This window comes from Homo sapiens, chromosome 18 (genome assembly GCF_000001405.40).
Source record: "Homo sapiens chromosome 18, GRCh38.p14 Primary Assembly".
NCBI lineage: Eukaryota > Metazoa > Chordata > Mammalia > Primates > Hominidae > Homo > Homo sapiens.
In genome coordinates, this window is record NC_000018.10 from 35,910,488 (window position 1) to 35,929,463 (window position 18,976).

Genomic DNA, 18,976 nt, shown 5'->3' on the forward strand with positions numbered 1-18,976 from the left:
ATTCTACACTGCCATGTTCTCACCCTGTGGCTTTAGATAAGTCATTCAAATTCCTAAGCCTCAGTTTTCTCCTCTGCAAAATGGGTGCATTAAAACCTGTCCTGGCCTCTGGACAGAGTCATCTTCATAGGTAAAACAGCATAGGGTCTTCTCTGTTACCTCTGAAATGAGAATGCTGGTACTTCTAGAAACTACCAGGAATGAACACTAACAATAAAATGTTATATTGATGCAAAATATTAGCAGAATTATTATTTAAGGAAATTACTCTGTATTCATTTAACAAACATAACAGGCATTGTGCTAAGCACTGGACATAAGGCAGTAAATGCCTCACCGTTTGGGCCATGGTCAGGTTCTGTTACCTGCAGCCAAATGCAATCCTATTTCACGTCCAAAGGGACAGAAAAGAGGTTAAGCTTGTGTGTGGGCTGTACCAGGCCCTAAGTTTTGGAGCCAGTTTTTTCTAATCCAGTTTAGGAACTATGTCACCTGGGGAATATTACATAATTTCTCTGAAAACAAGTTTCTACATCTGTAAAATGGGAGTAACAGTGCAGGATTGACAGGGTGACCATGAGGAGAATGAGGTGTAATTCACAGAGCACTCCATGAGTAGCAGCTGCTGTTGCTGCCGCAGGTACCAGTGTAATGAACTGAACATTCATACTTTAAAATCATTAGGATTTTTACCAATGTGATGGTATTAGAAGGTGGGGCCTTTGGGAGGTAATTAGGTCATAAGTGTGGAGCCTTTATGAATGGAACTAGTGCCTTTATGAAGAGACATGAGAGAGAATCCCTCTCTCTCTTTCTCTCTCAGCCACGTGAGGACACAATGAGAAAGTGGCTATCTGCAAGGCAGGAAATGGATCCTCACCAGACACCAGATCTGCTGGCACCTTGATCTTGGACTTCCCAGCCTCCAGAATGGTGAGAAATAAATTTCTGTTGTTTATAAGTCTATAGGACTTTTATACAGCAGCTCAAACGGATCAAGACAAACAGCAATCCTGTTTCCTTCATGATGACACATTTTGTGATGACACGATGGCTTACCCCTTAGGATCCCCACAGAAATGACCTTGCATCTACACCTCTCTGGTGGTCATCTAGATCCCACTCAGTAGATGAACCCGTCACCCCCTCTGTCTCACAAAGGATGAACTTGCCAGTGAGGCAAATCCAGGATGTGCCCACACTCTTCTGAGAGCAGAATTCAGAGAAGGGACAGTTACCTGGCTGGCAGTCACAGAGGTAGCATAGCTCCTTGCATGTTGCAGGGGTTTGGCATGCTTGGCTGAATGAACAGACCAATCAGTGAGGGTCTGACTTGAGGTAGGCCTTTCACAGAAATCATGGCTATAAACTTTTGCATTTGCTGTGCACATACTGTATGCCAAGCACACTCTTAGCAAGTGGGAAAGATCCTGACCAATTCTGGTGATAAGTTTGGGACTCCCAGCAGGTGTGGCTTACCCTCTTGGAGATCCAAGGCACATCTTATGAAACCATATGAGCGTAGGATCAGTTCAAAATTACAAAATATCAGCCTGCATATAAAATAGATTTAGTGAATTACTTTCAGAATATTAAAGGTGGGGAAGCCCCTCTGGACAGAGAGAAGGTTATCTTGGAGGCTGGGACCCCTTCCCTGCTGTAACCTGTACATCCTTATCAAACACATTGCAGGAGGCCAGAAAATCATGACAATGTAACTCGCTGGCTCACCTTCCTCCAGACTTTGCTTGACACAGCCTTGTCAGAATCCCCGATACTATTTTTAAATTGCCACTTCCCCTCTCAGGCCCTCTAGCTGGACCCCTGCAGTGGTCTCCTAATCAGGCTTCCCTTCTCATCGTCTCCCCTCATGTCACCTATTAGTTACCCCACTTCCCAAAGAATAAAGCTGAATCCTTAGCCCAGCATTTAAGACGCCTTACTTAAAAGCATCTGGTCTCTGCCATACTCCCCGATGGGTATTTCACAGTCCGGAAGAATTAACTGCTTGCTTGCCTCTATTCCCCACGACTCTGCCCACACCCTCTCCTCCTTGGGGCACTTCCCCTTCCCCTTTCCTGCCCTTCACCACACTGTCCACCCTTCTGAGGGCAACGCAGGAGTCCCTTCTCAAAAGACACCCCACTTCTTACCTCCTCAAGTGTTAACCTTGTCCTACATTTTTGACTTTTTTAAAAATACTGCAGGTCTTTGTAAACAATAAATGTTTCTTAAACTCCAGGGTTGTAAAGCTCTATTTGATTAGGAATTGAATCATGTATGCCTTTGTGTACCCTGTGGTCTCCAATAAGATATCTTGGATATTGAGGTATGCAATAAATATTTGTTGGACAAATTAATATTTAATTACTTCATACAAATTCTCCTATTTATCATTGAAATAGCCTTTTTCTTCAGCACACATAATACAATTCAGTATCTCAGAAGTTTTCACTGATATCATTTTCTTGAGCACAGTTATTAATAATTTGCCTTAAAATGCTCATTTAAGTGCCCAACGTGAAGATAAAGAGATCTGCTTTCCCATTGACGCTCACACTCAACCATAATTATCTGTCATAAGAGGCGCAAAGAGGTGTGAAGATGAAAGCTCGGAAGGTCGGATGTGCTGTCTCAAAATCCTGAAATAGGGGACAATTATCAGCAGCCTTAAGTGCTGGGGGGCACTGTTAATTGTACACGAGGCCATTGGTTCTGAATGTCATAAAATTCAGTCTCCCCTCCCCCATCCCACCACACACACACACACGCACACACACACACACACACAAAACACACACACAGATGCAAAGCCATCCTTCTCTCTCTTGGGAAGAAATGTCCACAAATGCACAGGTTTTGAGATAACTGAAGTGTGCACACCGAAGAACCAAAACTTGAAAACATGCAAGGGTCCAAACGGGACTGCCTAGCCTTTCTAAACATGAGATTCTCAACATAATTCAACCTTTCATTTATTGTTCAGGGTCATTACCATAAATATTATTTATTGTGCTCTGCAGTCATACTGTGATTTTCTCAGCAGCACTGTGCCTTTTCCTCTCAATTGCTAAAATATTTAGTTTCTGCATCTGCTTTTCATCATCTTTCCATCTCGCTATAACTGTCAGATTCTTCGTTGTCATTTCATAAGGGGACAGCTTGCAGAAGCAGTCTCTCCCACACCTACAACAGACATATACATCTTTGGAAGGGCCAGGAGACTAGATGGCCACGTTGGCCAGAGCTGTATCAGAGTAAGATGCATGTTGCTAAGGTAGAGAACAACCAGTTCCTGTTATATTCGTGCTGGGAGATCTGAGGCCTTTTCTTACTTGCTCCCTGGATCCCTAGAAAGTTCAAGTTGTAAGTAAAGAAACACAGTTCAGAATGGAGATGGCAGGAAAGCTCTGAAACAGTGTCAGTATAATCTCTTCTTTGTGATCAGCAATTTAGTTTCAGCACACCAGCATCATTCATCACATTAGATTAATGCCACTAATTTGAATTTTATTGGTTTTGTAGTTTTTATTATATTCGGTTTAGACATTTGTTTTGGCTTTATAGCTGTATATGAACTTTTGCGTATTTAAGTAGCATTATAATAATAAAATCCACAATGGGGATCCATAAGAATTTTTCTCAGTTCTGCCTTGCAAAACCTTCCTTGGTTTGTACCAGCACCTGACATTTGGCCTGCTCTCATTGGGGAACCTGTCCTTTGACTCAGTTCTTGACTAGTAGTTGTTACTGTTTGGTGTAAAATGTCTGGCAATAAACACTGTTGCCCAAGAAGGTACTGATGTCCGGCAGGGGAACTAGGTTATAAAGCTATCAAGGGGTCACCCAGGGCATCTCGAATATACGGACACTCATCTTTTTATGCTATCAAAATATCCATGAATCTTTTTTAAAAATTAAACTTATTGAGATAATTGTGGATTCACATGCCATTGGAAGAAATAATAGAGAGATCCCATGTACGCTTCACCCAGTTTCCCCAATGGTAACATCTTGTAAAATCTATAGTAACATCACAAACAGGAAATCGACATTGATACAATCCACTCATCTTAATCAGATTTTACATGCACTCACTTGTTTGTGTTTATTTTTGTGTGTTATTTTGTGTTTAGTTCTATGCACTTTTATCACATACGTAGGTTCATATATACACCACCACAGCCAAGGTACAGACCAATTCCATCACCACAGGGATGCCTGGAGCTGCCCTTCTTTAGCCACACACCCCTCCCTCACGTGCCGCACACACACCTCAAACCCCTGGCAATCACTCTATGTTCTCCATCCCTATAGTTTTGTCATTTCAAAAATGTTATATCTATGGAATCATACAGTATGCAACCTTTTAGGACTGGCTGTTTGTACTCAGCATAATTCCCTTAACATCCACCCATATTGTTGCATCAATGTTTGCTCCTTTCACTGCTGAGCAGAATTCCATGGCGGGCATGCATGTACTGCAGTGTCTTTAACCATTTACCCATGGAAGCACATCTGGATTGTTTCCAGAGCTGGGCTATTATAGAGCTGCTATGAGCATCTGTGGACAGATTTTTGTTTGAATGTAAGTTTTCATTTCTCTGGGAAAAAAAAAATTCCAAGAGTGAGAATGCTAGGTTATAAGATAATTGTATGTTTAGTTTTAAAAGAAACTTCCAAACCTTCTCAGAGTACCCGTAGCATTTTACTCAGCATAACATTTTAGAATTATCTTAAAGAATGTGTGGGCTGGGTGTGTTGGCTCAAGCCTGTAATTCTAGTACTTTGGGAGGCCAAGGCGGGAGTATCACTTGAGCTTAGGAGCTCAAGACCAGCCTGAACATAGGGAGATCTCTTCTCTACAAAAATATTTTAAAATTAGCCAGGGTGCAGTGTCAACTATTCTGAAGACTGAGGCAGGAGGATCGCTTGAGCTCAGGAGGTTGAGGATGCAGTGAGCCGTGATCGTGCCACTGCACTCCAGCCAGGGTGACAGAGAGACCCTGTCCCAAAACACACACACACACACACACACACACACACACACAAGAATGTGTGGGCCCCAGTTTACAAAACACTCACTTAGTGAGTAACACCAGATAACTAAAATATCGGCAAGGTGTTCTTGAAGATATAAGAAGGGAAATGGCTTGTACTGGGGGAAAAATAATTTTTTGATCGTAATGAGTAGATACTGAAAAAACTTGTAAGAGTTTCAATTAGTTTTCTGTCTCCCAAATGGTGGAAGCTTGAGTTTTGGAGACAGTGTCCCTCGTTGCGGGGGAAACATTCTAAATGGCCTTTTGTCTATTTGAATATAAACCAAGTCCCCACTTCCTCGGGTCTCAAGGTCAACCTACCTCTAGAAGTAGATCTGCAGCAAAGAAGCTGGAGGTAGGTTGATGCTGTACATAGAAGGTGCCTTGTGGCTGACCTAGGTAGGGCTTGAAGCTCTAGTTTCAGGTCCCTCACCTGTACAGGTCACTTCCTAGACCCTGGAAACACGGTCATAAATTTCCATAAGCTTTCTAAAAGTAAGATATTTTAACCGCAATTGAGTAAGACACTGCCTAACTCTACACCAGCCTTCCCTATCTATGTCACATTACCTGAAGGCCAGATGATGGTGGAATGGTCACAAGCATTTAGGGGATGCAGTAAGAGAAATAAAGTTGGGGACACATGTAGTTTGGGTTTAATGAGATCTTCTACATGGTTTGCAGTTACTTCCATATGCAGTTACTGCCAGCTGCCCTGATGCAAGAACATCTTCCAGGAATGTCCTGCCACCCTCTGAGCCAAGTCCCCTGGCCTGCCCCTGAGCATTGAGGGCCAGTGGTCAGATTGTAACATGAACATATCTTGGGGCCCCCAGCAACAGAAGTATGTGGGTAGGAGGAGAAACAGGTTTGAAATGCACAGAGGCAGAAGCTGATCTTTGGAAAATTCCTTGAATCATCAAGATGAGTAAAATTATAAGCAGAAAATTCAGATCTCATCAACCCTATTCAGAATGGAAGTTCTTCCTTGTCAGTAATAGTTTCGATAATGAAGCTTATACAATTATAAATGCACCACACTCTTCCCATTTTTGGTGAAATAAACTTGTCAGAATTTCTGTGTTTGTGTGACATGACTTGGAAAATACTACCAACACCAAGTAAGTCTATGTGGGAGTTGCATGTTTATATCCCAACACATCAGATCACATTTTAACATATTTGAAACATCTTGTTCTGATGAAGTCTGGTGGTTCCAGGTGAAATAAATTTTTATCATTCTTGTAAAGGAAAATATGCTAATTAAAAATATGTTAAATAGAAAGCATTATCTTTCTATTCTGTCTATAGAATCTGATAGATAATCAAAGAGTATGCAGCTAAAAAAATAGGAGAAAACATAGAAGCTATGACTTAATTAAAATAATAGGCTATTTTCCTAGATTTAGTGCTATTTAAGGTATTTTTCAGCTTTTAAAAATTTGCCGTTTGGGTAGGTTTTTCTTCTCATTCTATATAAATACTTTCATAACTAATTTTGTATTCATAATTCTGCAATCTGCCCCTCTCTGAAGACCACCTCTTTGGAAAAGCATGAGTGTTTTCTGGGTGGACTCAGACTGACCTACCTCTGCCTGTGAAGTGTCACTTTTCATTGTCTATTTGGGTGGTTGTTTTCCAGAGGTCCACAGTGAAAGTTCAGATTGTGAGAAACACAGTCACAGATTTCTCCCTTCACCCTGCCAGCAGAGGAGGCTGTTCCTCAGTCTAGAGCTTATCAGACTGTTCAGGGCAGAGTAATCCTGACATTTTTTCAGTTTCTGGAAGCCACCTGCTTCCTTAGCTTGTGACTGTGTCACTCTGATCTCTGCTTCCATTGTCATATTCCCTCCTTGACACTGACTCCTCTGCTTCCCTCTTACATGACACTTGGGATTATACCTGGATACTCCAGGATTAGCCACCTGCCTGTCATTTCAAGATCCTTTTGCCATATAAGGGAATATACAGGTGCCGGGGATTCATATGTGGACATTTTTGGGGGCCATTATTCTTTCTATTACAACCCTCAACTTGCTGTGTGATCCTGAACAAGCCATCCACCTCTCTGAGCCTGTCTCATCTTGCGTATCATGAAGAATTGAACTAAATTATGTCTTTCAGCTCCAAAATGAAAGACATAATTTCATTGGGTTATGTGGTTCTGTGACCTAGGGTTCACCAGCATACATTGGTGAGATGGGAACTCAGGCCAAGTGCCATCTCTCTGGTTATGACTGAGACTGTCCCTGTGGAAGCAAAATAGCATGGGGCTGACACCAGGACCTGTGGCTTCTCAAGGTGTTTCCCTATTCAAACTAGCCTGGTATATTAGATTTTGTTTTACTTGCTATCTCTTTTTATTATTTATTTATTTTTTTGAGACAGTGTCTCACTCTGTCACCCAGGCTGGAGTACAGTGGCACAATCTTGGCTCACTGCAACTTCTGCCTCCTGCATTCAAGAGATTCACCCTTCCTCTGCCTCCCCAGTAGCTGGGACTGCAGGCACCCACCACCATGCCCAGCTAATTTTTTGTATTTTTAGTAGAGATGGGGTTTCACCATGTTGGTCTCGAACTCCTGACCTCAAGTGATCCTCCCACCTCGGCCTCCCAGAGTGTTGGGATTACAGGCGTGAGCCACCGCACCCGGCCTGTTTTGCTTGCTGTCTTGAATAAAGCTGTCTCATGAAGCAAAGGTAATGACTCTTTGGTGGTCTTCATGGATTTGGATTTGCAAATTCAGTCCTTAAAATGTTTATTTTCCCTTAGTTGCTTTATTTAACTAACATAACACGTTGCTATTTCCTACAACCTCTGCCTGCAGTCACACTCAGTAGGATTGCTCTTTTACCTCCTCCCTCAATGACATTCTGATAGAGCTTGGACCCTACCATGTCACAGCCTTGACCTCACATCCAGCAAAGTTTCCTCCTCCTCGCCCGTCTGGCCAGAGAGCTGGGGGTCAGGAGTGCAGAGGGGCCTGCTTGGAGGGCCAGCTCCCCCTTCCCGCCTTCCCTCCTCTGGGTCTCCACTCCTCAGCAGGGGTGGTACAGGGAGGCATGCAGAAGGATGGGCAAGAAGGAGCTGAACAAGCAGCCTCCCTTGCCCAATGCCTCAAGGTCAACCCTGCTAGCTGTTGATGTCCTGTGGGGAAGGGGGCACCCAAATGCTGTTGTGTCAAGGGGTGAGACAGGCTTCCTCAGAGGCCTGCAGGAACCACACCATCACTCCCTTCCCTCACCCGGGAACATGGCAGACCTGCCCTACTCAGCCTTCTCCACTACCCCAGCTCCAGCCCCCAGCAGTTCCCACACCCCACATTCCTAGCTCAGCCAGTGACTCAATGACAGTTAAGCCAGGGAGCCACCACCATTTTGGCCACAGTGAAGGGCAGGCCTGTAGGCTGCTCCACTGCAGGTGGCCCTCTCCTTACTACACCAGCTCTCATAGGTTCCTATCCCTCCACACAACAGGTGTGCTGCATATGCAGACAGTCAACCAGGGAATGACCTGCCAGTCACCTTTTCTGCCAATCATTCATTCACTCTGCAAACATGTATCAATAACCCAGGATGAAGCAGGCACAGCTGGAGGCACTGAGAATATCACGAAGACATAAAACTCCTGCCCTCATGGAACTTACAAATAAACAAATCACATGTTAGAGGAGAGGGGAGAGGGGACTGATCAAGGTAAGAGGGTGAAGGGTGCCAGTGGCATGGGGAATTTAAATGGACTGGTCAGAGAAAGTGACGTTTCAGCAAAGACTTGAAGAGGGTGAGGAAGCAGGCCCTGCAGATATCTTGGGGAAGGTGCCAGGCAGAGGGAGCTGGTACAAGGCCCTGAGCAGGGACTTACGCATGATGTCAAAAGAACAGGGAGGAGGCCAGGGTGGCTGGGGCTGAGTGGACAAGGGCAAGCAGTCAGAGGTGAGGTTGCAGAGGTGAGTGGGGAGGGCAAGTGAGAAAGGCCAGAGAGGCTACTGTAAGGTCTCAGGAACTTACTCTGAATTCAAGAGAAGACACTGCAGGAAGTGGGCAGGAAAGTGATCTATCATCTGGCTTTTAATAGAACCCCTCTAGCTGCTCTATGGACAGCAGACTACAGTGAAGCAAAGGCAGAGGCCGAGAGACCAGTCTGGAGGCTGTGAGTGAGCCAGGCCAGGGGTGATGGGGGCTTGGACTAGCAAGGTAGCCATGGAGATGGTGAGAAGTGGTCAAGTCTTGATGTATTTTGGAGTAGAACTAACAGAATTTCCTGATTTGATGAGAAGTGTGAGAGAATGAGAGAAGTCAAGTTTTTTTTCCCCCTGAGCACCAGGAAAGATGGAATTGCCATTAACTGAGATGGGAGGAGGAGCAGGCTGGGTGGGGGAGAAGGAGATCACACTAGTTTGGACATGTTCAGTTTGATGTGTCTGTTAGGCATTCAGTGGTAACAGCAGGGAGGCAGTGGACTTCAGAGGAGAAGGCCAGACAAGATGTATAAAGTGTATAAAGTGAACAGCTGTCAGCATCTAAATGATATTGAGAGCCACGAGATATGGGAGAAAAATAGAGCCCAGAAATAGATCCACATAATGTAGTCAACCGATCTTTGGCAAAGACAAATTAAGTAGAGAAAGAATCGTCTTTTAAACAAATGGTGCTGAGACAACTGGATGTCCACATACAAAAAGTGAAACAGACATAGAACTCTACACTTTTCACAAAAAAGCAACTCAAAATGGATTATGGACTGAAATGTTAAATATAAAGCCATAAAACTTGTAGAAGAAAATATAAGATTAAATATATGTGACCTTGGGTTTAGTGTTGAGTTTTTAGATGCAATGCCAAATGCACGATCCATAAAAGAAGAAAAAGGATAAGCTGAACTTTTAAAAAATAAAACCATGGGACTGGATAAGACCACTAAGGGAGGGAGTGCAGAGAGAGAAGAGAAACAGTCCAAGGACAGATGCTCTAACATTTCCAGCATCTCCATAAACAACTCTCTTGAACTCCCTTCATTTTAAGAGAGTTGGGATAGGCTTGGAGATACAAATTTGGAAGTCAGCATAGAGAGTATTTAAAGTTCCCACCACCCTGTATGAGATAACCTGGAGGGTGTTCCAGGCAGAGGAGAAGAGAAGTATAGAATCAAGCATTGGAAATCTCCACCCTGAAGTGGTTGATAATGATGAGTGGTAGCCAACGTGGCAAAATGAAGAGGAACAGCAGTGAGGCAGCTGAGCCAAGAGACAGTGCTGTTCCAGAGGCCAGGGGAAAAAGTACTTCAGGAAGGAAAGAGTGATCAACATGTCAAATACAACTGATAAACCATGGAAGGCTGAGGATTAACTGTTGGACTGGCCACATGTGGTCACTGGCAGCAATGCTGTGGCCTGTTTTGGTGGAGTGACAGATGCAAAGCCCTGCCTCAAGGGAATTAAAGATATGGGGACAGCTACCTTAGACAGCTATCTTATTTCATCAGATAATTTTCTGAAAAGGGAATCAGAAATAATGGGCAGTATTTGGAGGAGAAGCCCTATCAAAGAGAGGGCTTTTGTAAATGGAAGAAATTGCAGCAAACTTGCATCTGACACAAATGGTCCAGTAGACAGGGGAAACTTGACAATACAGAAGGGAAAGATGAGAATTGCAGGAGGAGAGGGTCCTGCAGAGAAAGGAGACAGTGGTCCACACTCAACCATCTAATACTACAGGAAATAAGATTCAAGTATATCTGGGAGGTTCTGAGGAGTTCAAACATTGGGCCAACTTTCTCACGAAGTCTGCTGTGTAATAGCAGCTCATATTCTGAGCAGCACCCAAGGGTACAAGTTAAATCAATGACATGGAATTTCAGAGGACAAGAAAATGGTAAGCAAATAAAAAATCTAGGCACTTATTCTACTTTCTCAAAGGCAGCTCTACAATTATCTAGCAATGTACAAGTTTGGACCTTCAAGTCAGTTAATGAGTTTCACTAATCTTTCACAGAATATATATTAAAAGATGATAAGCATTAGGTGATTGTATCTCTTAACACATGAAACTTGTTAAGCCTAATACATTTTTTTCTTTTATGGGAACATCAGCTTATGCAAAAATAGTTAAGTTTTCTGTGTTTTGCTTCACTCCAGGTGCAGGGCAGAAGCTGTGTTTGCAAAACATCTTCTGTTTCATCAGCATATAAAACTGTACACAGAACACAGAGTAGTAGCTGCCTAGGTCTCAGGGGTAAAATAGGGGTGTCAATGTAAATGGGCAAGATATTTCTTTTTGGGATGATGGAAGTGTTCTACAATTAGATTGTGTAGTATATTTACAACTCTTTAAATATACTAAAAATCATTGCATTGTACACTTAAAACAGGTGAATGGGCCGGGCATGGTGGCTCACACCTGTAATCCCAGCACTTTGGGAGGCCGAGGTGGGCTGATCATGAGGTCAAGAGATTGAGACTATCCTGGCCAACATGGTGAAAACCTGTCTCTACTAAAAACACAAAAATTAGCTGGGCATGGTGGCGCATGCCTGTAGTCCCAGCTACTCGGGAGGCTGAGGCAGAAGAATCACTTGAACCCAGGAGGCGGAGGTGGCAGTGAGCCAAGATCGTGCCACTGCACTCCAGCCTGGTGACAGAGTGAGACTCCAACTCAAAAAATAAAAACAAAACAAAAGAAAAACAAACAAGTAAATATTATGGCACGTAATTATATCTCAAAACTGTTTCAGAGAAGACATGGGTGCTCCAGGAGGACGTTGCTACCCTCCAGCTCCAGGATATCTTGCTCACTTCTCAGAAGCCAGAGCTTGCCTTTAGTGCTGCTGGATCTGGAAACTCCGAAGCCACCTGCAGAAGTCAAGGCTCTGTCCAGTGGCAGCTAAGAATTCCACAAATTCAACAAGGTCTAGCCCCCAATATGTTTGTGTGGTGATTTGATTCATCATTATGTGATCAGTAATCCACAAAAATTTATATCAGCCAGTGAGGAGTGCAGTGCCTGGTATTCTGTGCTAAGCAGTAGCAGTCTTCAGAGATGAACACATGGAGTGCATGTGGTAGAACCAACACTTGCTCATCCAACCAAATTTTCCACTTTCACCTTGTTCCATTTACACAAAGATTTCCATTTTCTCCTTGAAGTCTAGCTTAGTGTTTGGGCTTGCTCCTGACTGTCCCCAGGACTCTGAATTTCTGTCCCCATCCCCTGCTTTGATGGAGTTCTCCTACACAATGATAATCCACCATGCACCTCAGCATGGTCCTTTTTAGAAAACTGTCCTGAATTGGCATGGGCTCGCTCAGAACATGATGATGTTGCTGAGCTACTAAAGGGAAGAAGTGAGTAAGCCTTGGCTGGAACTTTTACTACTGACCTAACCCCTCAAATCCCACAACTGTGGCTGCCTTGAGCAGGACAGAGGTTCAGCGATAGCCTGAATATATGGGATAATTTGGCTGGTAGATGACAGCTTTTTCTAGGATTTCTAGGTGGGTTTTGTCTCCCACTGGTTCAAGGCTGTGGGTCTCCTGTCTTGTCCTCAAATCTGCCTCTGCCACTGGCCTCTCTTTGACTGTTCTCATACTACTTATATCCTCATTCCTCAGGCACCCATTGTCCATCCCCTGATCACTGGCATCTCAGACCACTCTCATCAATACAAATACTTCCTTCTTTTTAATCTGAGCAGTAGGGAGCAGAGACTCAAATCCTGGCTTCTTCTCCTATTTACTGGGTACTGTCGACAAAGAGTCAAACTCTGTAAAATATTTGAAGAGATTTATTCTGAGCCAAATGTGAGCGACCATGGCCCATGACACAGCCCTTAGGAGGTCCTGAGAACATGTCTCCAAGGTGGTCGGGGTGCAGCTTGGTTTTATACATTTTACAGAGGCATGAGACAGAATCAAATACATTTAAGAAATGCACTAGTTTGGTCCAGAAAGGTGGCACAACTCAAAGTGGGGGCTTCCAGGCTATAGGTGAATTTAAACATTTTCTGTTGACAACTGGTTGAGTTTGTCCAAAGACCTGGGATCCACAGAAAGGGAATGTTCAGGTCAAGATAAAAGACTGTGGAGGCCAAAGTTCTTTGAAGTGTCACAGTGGTTGCCCTTAGAGACAAAAGATGACAAATGTTTTCTATACAGGTATTAGTTAATCTCTTTAGGATTGGGAAGGTCTAGAAGAAAGAAATCTGGCTATGTTAATAGAGATTCTTTACAGACGCAAATTTTCCCCCATAAAGAACAGCTTCGCAGGGCCATTCCAAGAAACATGTGTTGGGGTAAAGTATTTGATTTTCTTCCTTGTCTCATAATGTTATGCCAGAGTCAAATTGGAAAGTAAGTTACGATATACAGGGTTAAATAAAACCCATCTGATGAGAATTTATTATTTGTATGGCATGACTCCCCAGACCCCTTAGATAGATAGGAATTTGGGCAAGATAAAAATCAGAGTTTAGTCCTCAGTACCTTGGGCAGTCACCCTGGGCACCACTCTGTGATTCAGTTTCACCATCTGCTGTGAGAATTAAGTGGCTAAAGCAAAGTGAAGAGTTTGTTAGCACAGTCAGGTGCCTGGCAGTAAGTGCACAGTCCTTGCTAGCGCTTCCTGTGGTCAGTGAACCAAGCCATCCTGCTGCAATGCCTCTGGGGGTGCTTCAGGTTTGGGGCACTTTCCAGCTGCCTTCAGTGTTGTTTGTGGCTCAAGGGTTGGCATTTTACCAGCAGGGACCTCCTTCTCTTCTCTTTTGTGCTGTAGAAGTTTTAGATTGCTGGGCAGTCAACTCTCAATAATAAACTTGATTTCTATTAGTTGTTTGCACTTATACTAATGTAAACCACTTTCTAAGCTTTGTCAGATAGCAGAGCAGCCTGAACTCCTGCTGGCAGCTACTGCAGCTTTCCTCTGTGGCTTTCCTCACCCGTGTTCTGTTGCCACCCCTCCTTGGCTCTCTGTCCCCTGACAGAGCAGAGAGAAGAGCTGTGTACCAAGCATTCACATTTGTCAGCGCAAAGCCCTTGTCCTCTGTAGGGAGTCATTTCCCTTCCCAGCCCTAATTCTTTGCCCTTTTAAACCGGAGCTATTATTACTTCTAATTTGCACTGAATGGTCCCTTAGCAGCCATCACACACTGAACTTGATACTAACTTGCTTCCAATACTGCTAGATTTACCAGAATCTTAGCTCTTCCGGAACACAACTTAAAATGTGATAAACAGAAATGTAAACAGCTTTCATCATATCAACAGATGTAGATATACTCCTTTGCAGAATAGTTGCACTACAGCCAAGTTGACTAGATAGCACATTTTAGATTAATCTTAGTTTTTCCTTGCTATCAATAAAAACAATCTCATAGATCTACTCCCCTTGAAACATTTTTGGACCCAAAACAGTGCCATTACTCTTAAGAATAAGGGAAAGATTTTAAATAATATACAGCATCTAAATAAGTAGGTAATTTCTTTAAACCTTTTAAAAACACATTTGGACTCCACCTTTTCTAGAAAAGATATAAACAAGGATGGGCTGGTAAACTGGCTCCCTTGGGTTAGGGTAAGGTCTGTTTTGTAGCATTTGCCAATATCCATAGTGTAGGTATTCCCAGCATGGCTGATTTCAAACTATCAACTGTTAAAGAAGGGGCACACAAAATTCCTAAATATTTAACAAGTGCAAAGGTTCTAGCACACCTTTGGAAGCCAAATCTGAAAATATACATAAACTACATCAAGACACATAAAAAGTAGGTGAGAAAGAAGGAATGAAACAAGGGTAGGGGTATAAAATGGAGCCAGGAATTAGCAGATATAAAAATGCATACTGTAAAGCCCTGTAGACACGTTTAAATCCTTACATTTGGCTTTCAGAAGCTTCTAACACTGAAAGGAGAAGCTTACCTGGTTCACAGTGTTGTTAAGATAAAAATAAGTGGCATGCTGAGAAGTGCCAGTGTCCTGTTCTTCAAGTAGGCCACATTTCTCCTCCTGAGGGTCCCAGGAAAGCAAAGACTGTGTCACAAAGTGAATGTCCTCATCAACTCAGCCTGATGGTCTAGCCTTGAGATTGCAATTAGGTGAAAGCAATGCTACAGAATGCCAAGCCCACTCAGGGTACAGAGATCAACATTCCCACATTCCCAGCTTAATTCCTGGCAGGTGGAGCTGTGGATGTATGCCACCACCTTGGAGGAAACTTCTAAGCTTTTGCTGACACTCTGACTGTAGTAAGTTTGAAATTGCTCTTCCAGGCAGATTTCTGGACCTGAAACAAGTTTACCGACTATAGAACCCGACACATGTGTCCTAACTGACAATCAGCACACAGGAAAGAACAACAATCCCTCTGGAAAACAGGTGTCCACCAGGAGCCACTTTCAAGGACTTGGCTCCCCTACTTGGAAGTAGAGTAGTTCCTGATGCAATATTCAAAGTGCATAAGGAAAGCAAATACTAAACATCTAGGTTCTGATCTACATTGGCACAATGGTTTCATATGTCCTAAAGAAGAGGAGAATGACAGTTGTGCAACGAATTGAGAATTTCCTTAACTTTATGGGTCTCCTTCCCAAAGGTCCATAAAAGAGAAAAGGTCACCTCCCCATTCCCTGGCATTTGGAATTTGGTGAAAAAATTTTAGTTAAAAAAATTTTTAATTTTTAAATTTATTTATTTTTAAATTTAGTTTAAAAATTATTGAAGTATAACATACATGCAGAAAACTTCACAAATCATCATGAAAAGAGAACCAGAACACCAGCACTCGATCAAGAAGCAGAATATTACCTGCCCCTAATTGTCCCTCCCCTCCAGTAACTATTCTGTAATCATTGACTTTTTTTTTAATCTATCTTTGAACTTTATGTTAATGAACACGTACAGTAAGTGATGTTTTGTTTCTGGTTTCTTTCACTCATCATTCTTGTGAGATTTATCCACATGGTTGCAAATAGGTACAGACAGTTCATTCTTGTTGCTACATAGAATTCCATTGTTTGAATGTATCATAAGACATGGACAGAAGGCAGGGAAATACTGTGTAGAAAAGGGCAGGGTCCCTGGCAAGGGCTCCACTCTAAAGTCTGGATCTGCCACCCTAAATGAGAATATGCATTTTGACCTGAATGCTACCTTTTCCAAAAACACCCTGGCCCACCACAGCCCCCACCCTGTACCCATAAAAACCCCAAGCTCCACTGGTGGAGGAACAGAGTAGTGCAGCAGAGGAGAGAAAGAAGAAGCATCCAAATGTTCTGAGTTTGGCTGGGGATGGTCAGGGATTATCTTCCCATTCCATTCCCTTTCCAGCTCCCCATCCCACTGAGAGCCACTTCGACTGCTCAATAAAATCCTCCACATACGCCACGCTTTAATCTGTTCACGTAAACCTGATTCTTCCTGGACTCCAGACAAGAATTCAGGATGCACTGGGTACGGGAACCCAAAAAGGCTGTCACGCTGACTCTTCACTGAGCTGTTTAACACTTAAGCCATTCACGGACGGAAGGGACGGAAGGCAGGGCTAAAAGAGCATTGTTTGTAACATATACCCTCTGGGCCTCCAGAAATTGTGGGCAACCCCTAGATGCTGCCACGGGCCAGTACAGAGCTCATTCCTGCTGGTACCCAAAGGTATTCTCTCAGCTCCTGCACCTGCTCACCTGCATGCTCCCCCTCCTGCAAAGGGTTTGAGTATGGTGGCCGAGTAAATGAGCCACCCCTGTCGTAAGTCCTGTGTGGGGGTCAAGGGAACTCTCCTGTCTCATATCCATTTTACTTACAATGAGAATTTGGATTGTTTGTGGTTTTTAGCTATTATGAATAAAGGTTTTATGGACATTCTAACCCATGTTCTTTGTAGGACATAGCAGTCATTCTCTGGGATATATACAGGAGGAAATCGCTGGATCATAGTATATGTTCTTGCTTTAGTAAATACTGCCATAAAGTTTTCTGGAGTGATTATACCAAAAAGATAACATTTTACCCATTTAAATTGGCAAAAGTCTTTTAGAGTATAGTGACCCAAGCTGGAGACATTGGGACAGATTTCGTACATTAACATATAGCTTGTAACATGACTCCATGTAATCTAATATCACTGTGAGTCACAAAATGGATTTGTGAATCCAAAGCAAAGATTTGAGGTTAATCATAACTCCAAGAGACAGAGGAATAAATATTAATTTATTAAACAGACAAGAATAAGCCATTCAAGGTGTGTATGCTAACGAAAGGATTTGTTTCCCATTAGGAGCATTTCTATTAAGATAAGAAACAAAGTGAGAATGACTTTTATTTCCTCTGTTATTCAACATTGTATGGCAGATAATAGTCAATGCCTATAGATAAGGGAGAGCACTTAGATATTTGCAAGACTTAGAGAATTGCAAAAGAAGTAAACCCATTTCTATTTGAAGATGATATGAGAGTATACTTGGAAAGTCTTAGAAAATCAATACAACTAAAACAATAAAATAATTCAATAAGATAAAAGAAGGTAAAATTAACCTTTAGAAACAATAGTCTTTAAAAAGACAAACAATAACCAGTTAGAAAATATAATGGTACTGCAAATCCCATTTATAATAGCAACACAACATGAAATAAAATATATAGGAATAAACTTTAAAAGAAATGTGTAAAATCTAAATGAGGAAAATTTCAAATTCCTGATGACAGAAAACTAGATTTGAACAAATGGAAAAACAGCTCTTATTCTTCTTGTAGGAAAACTCTATATCATAAAGATGTCAGTTCTCCTTAATTTATAAATTTAATGAAATATCAATAAAAATACCAGCAAGCATTTTTTATGATGCTAAGTTGGCACTAAAATTTATATGATTAATCACAAAATATCACGTTATATGATTCTATTTATATGAAATGTCCAAAGTAGGCAAATTTATAGAGAAAGAAAGCAGAGGCCAGGTGCAATGGCTCATACCTGTAATTCCAGCACTTTGGGAGGCCGAGATGGGTGGATCACTTGAGGCCAGAAGCTTTAGACTAGCCTGGCCAACAGGGTGAAACCCTGTCTCTACTAAAAATACAAAAATTAGCTGGGCACAGTGGTGCATGCCTGTAATCCCAGCTACTCAGGAGGCTGAGACATGAGAATCACTTGAGCCCAAGAGGTGGAGGTTGCAGTCAGCTGAGATCATGCCACTGCACTCCAAGCTGAGCAAGAGAAGGAGACTCAGTCTCAAAAAAAAAATAAAATAAAATAAATAGAATAGTGATGGCTTAGGGCTGGGAGGAGGGTAGGGGAAAGAATAGGGAATGACTGATAATGGGTATAGGGTTTCTTTTAGGAGGGGCAACAATGTTCTAAAATTAAATGGGGATGATGTTTTCAATATACAAAACATATTGAATATACTAAAAAATATTAAATTGGACATGTTAAATGGGTAAAATGTGTGGTATGTAAATTACATCCCAATATGGCTGTTTAAAAATTTACAGTGAAAAGTAAACGCACAGAAATTGGAAAACAATGAAAAAGAAAAGATACAAGTCAGGACTAACACTTTCCTATATGAAAACATACATTAAAGCCTCTTTAATTAAAACAGTGAGATGCCAGTGAGTGGACAGAATAGAATATAAATTTCAAAATAGACCACAGTATACATGGAAATTTAGAATACAATAAAGGTTACATCTCATATCATTAGGACAAAGATGGACTTTTTAATAAATAGCCTTGGGACAACTAATTAACCATTTGTAAAAAGATAAAATTAAATTATACCTCACACTTTATACACAAACTCTGAATATATTAGGAAAATAACGTAAAAATTTTTAACAAATCCATACAAGCACTAGAAGAAAACATAGGTGAATTTCTGTTTAACTTGGGTGTGAAGAAAGAACTGTGACCTAAAATCCAGAGGCAATAAAAGAAAATATTGATTA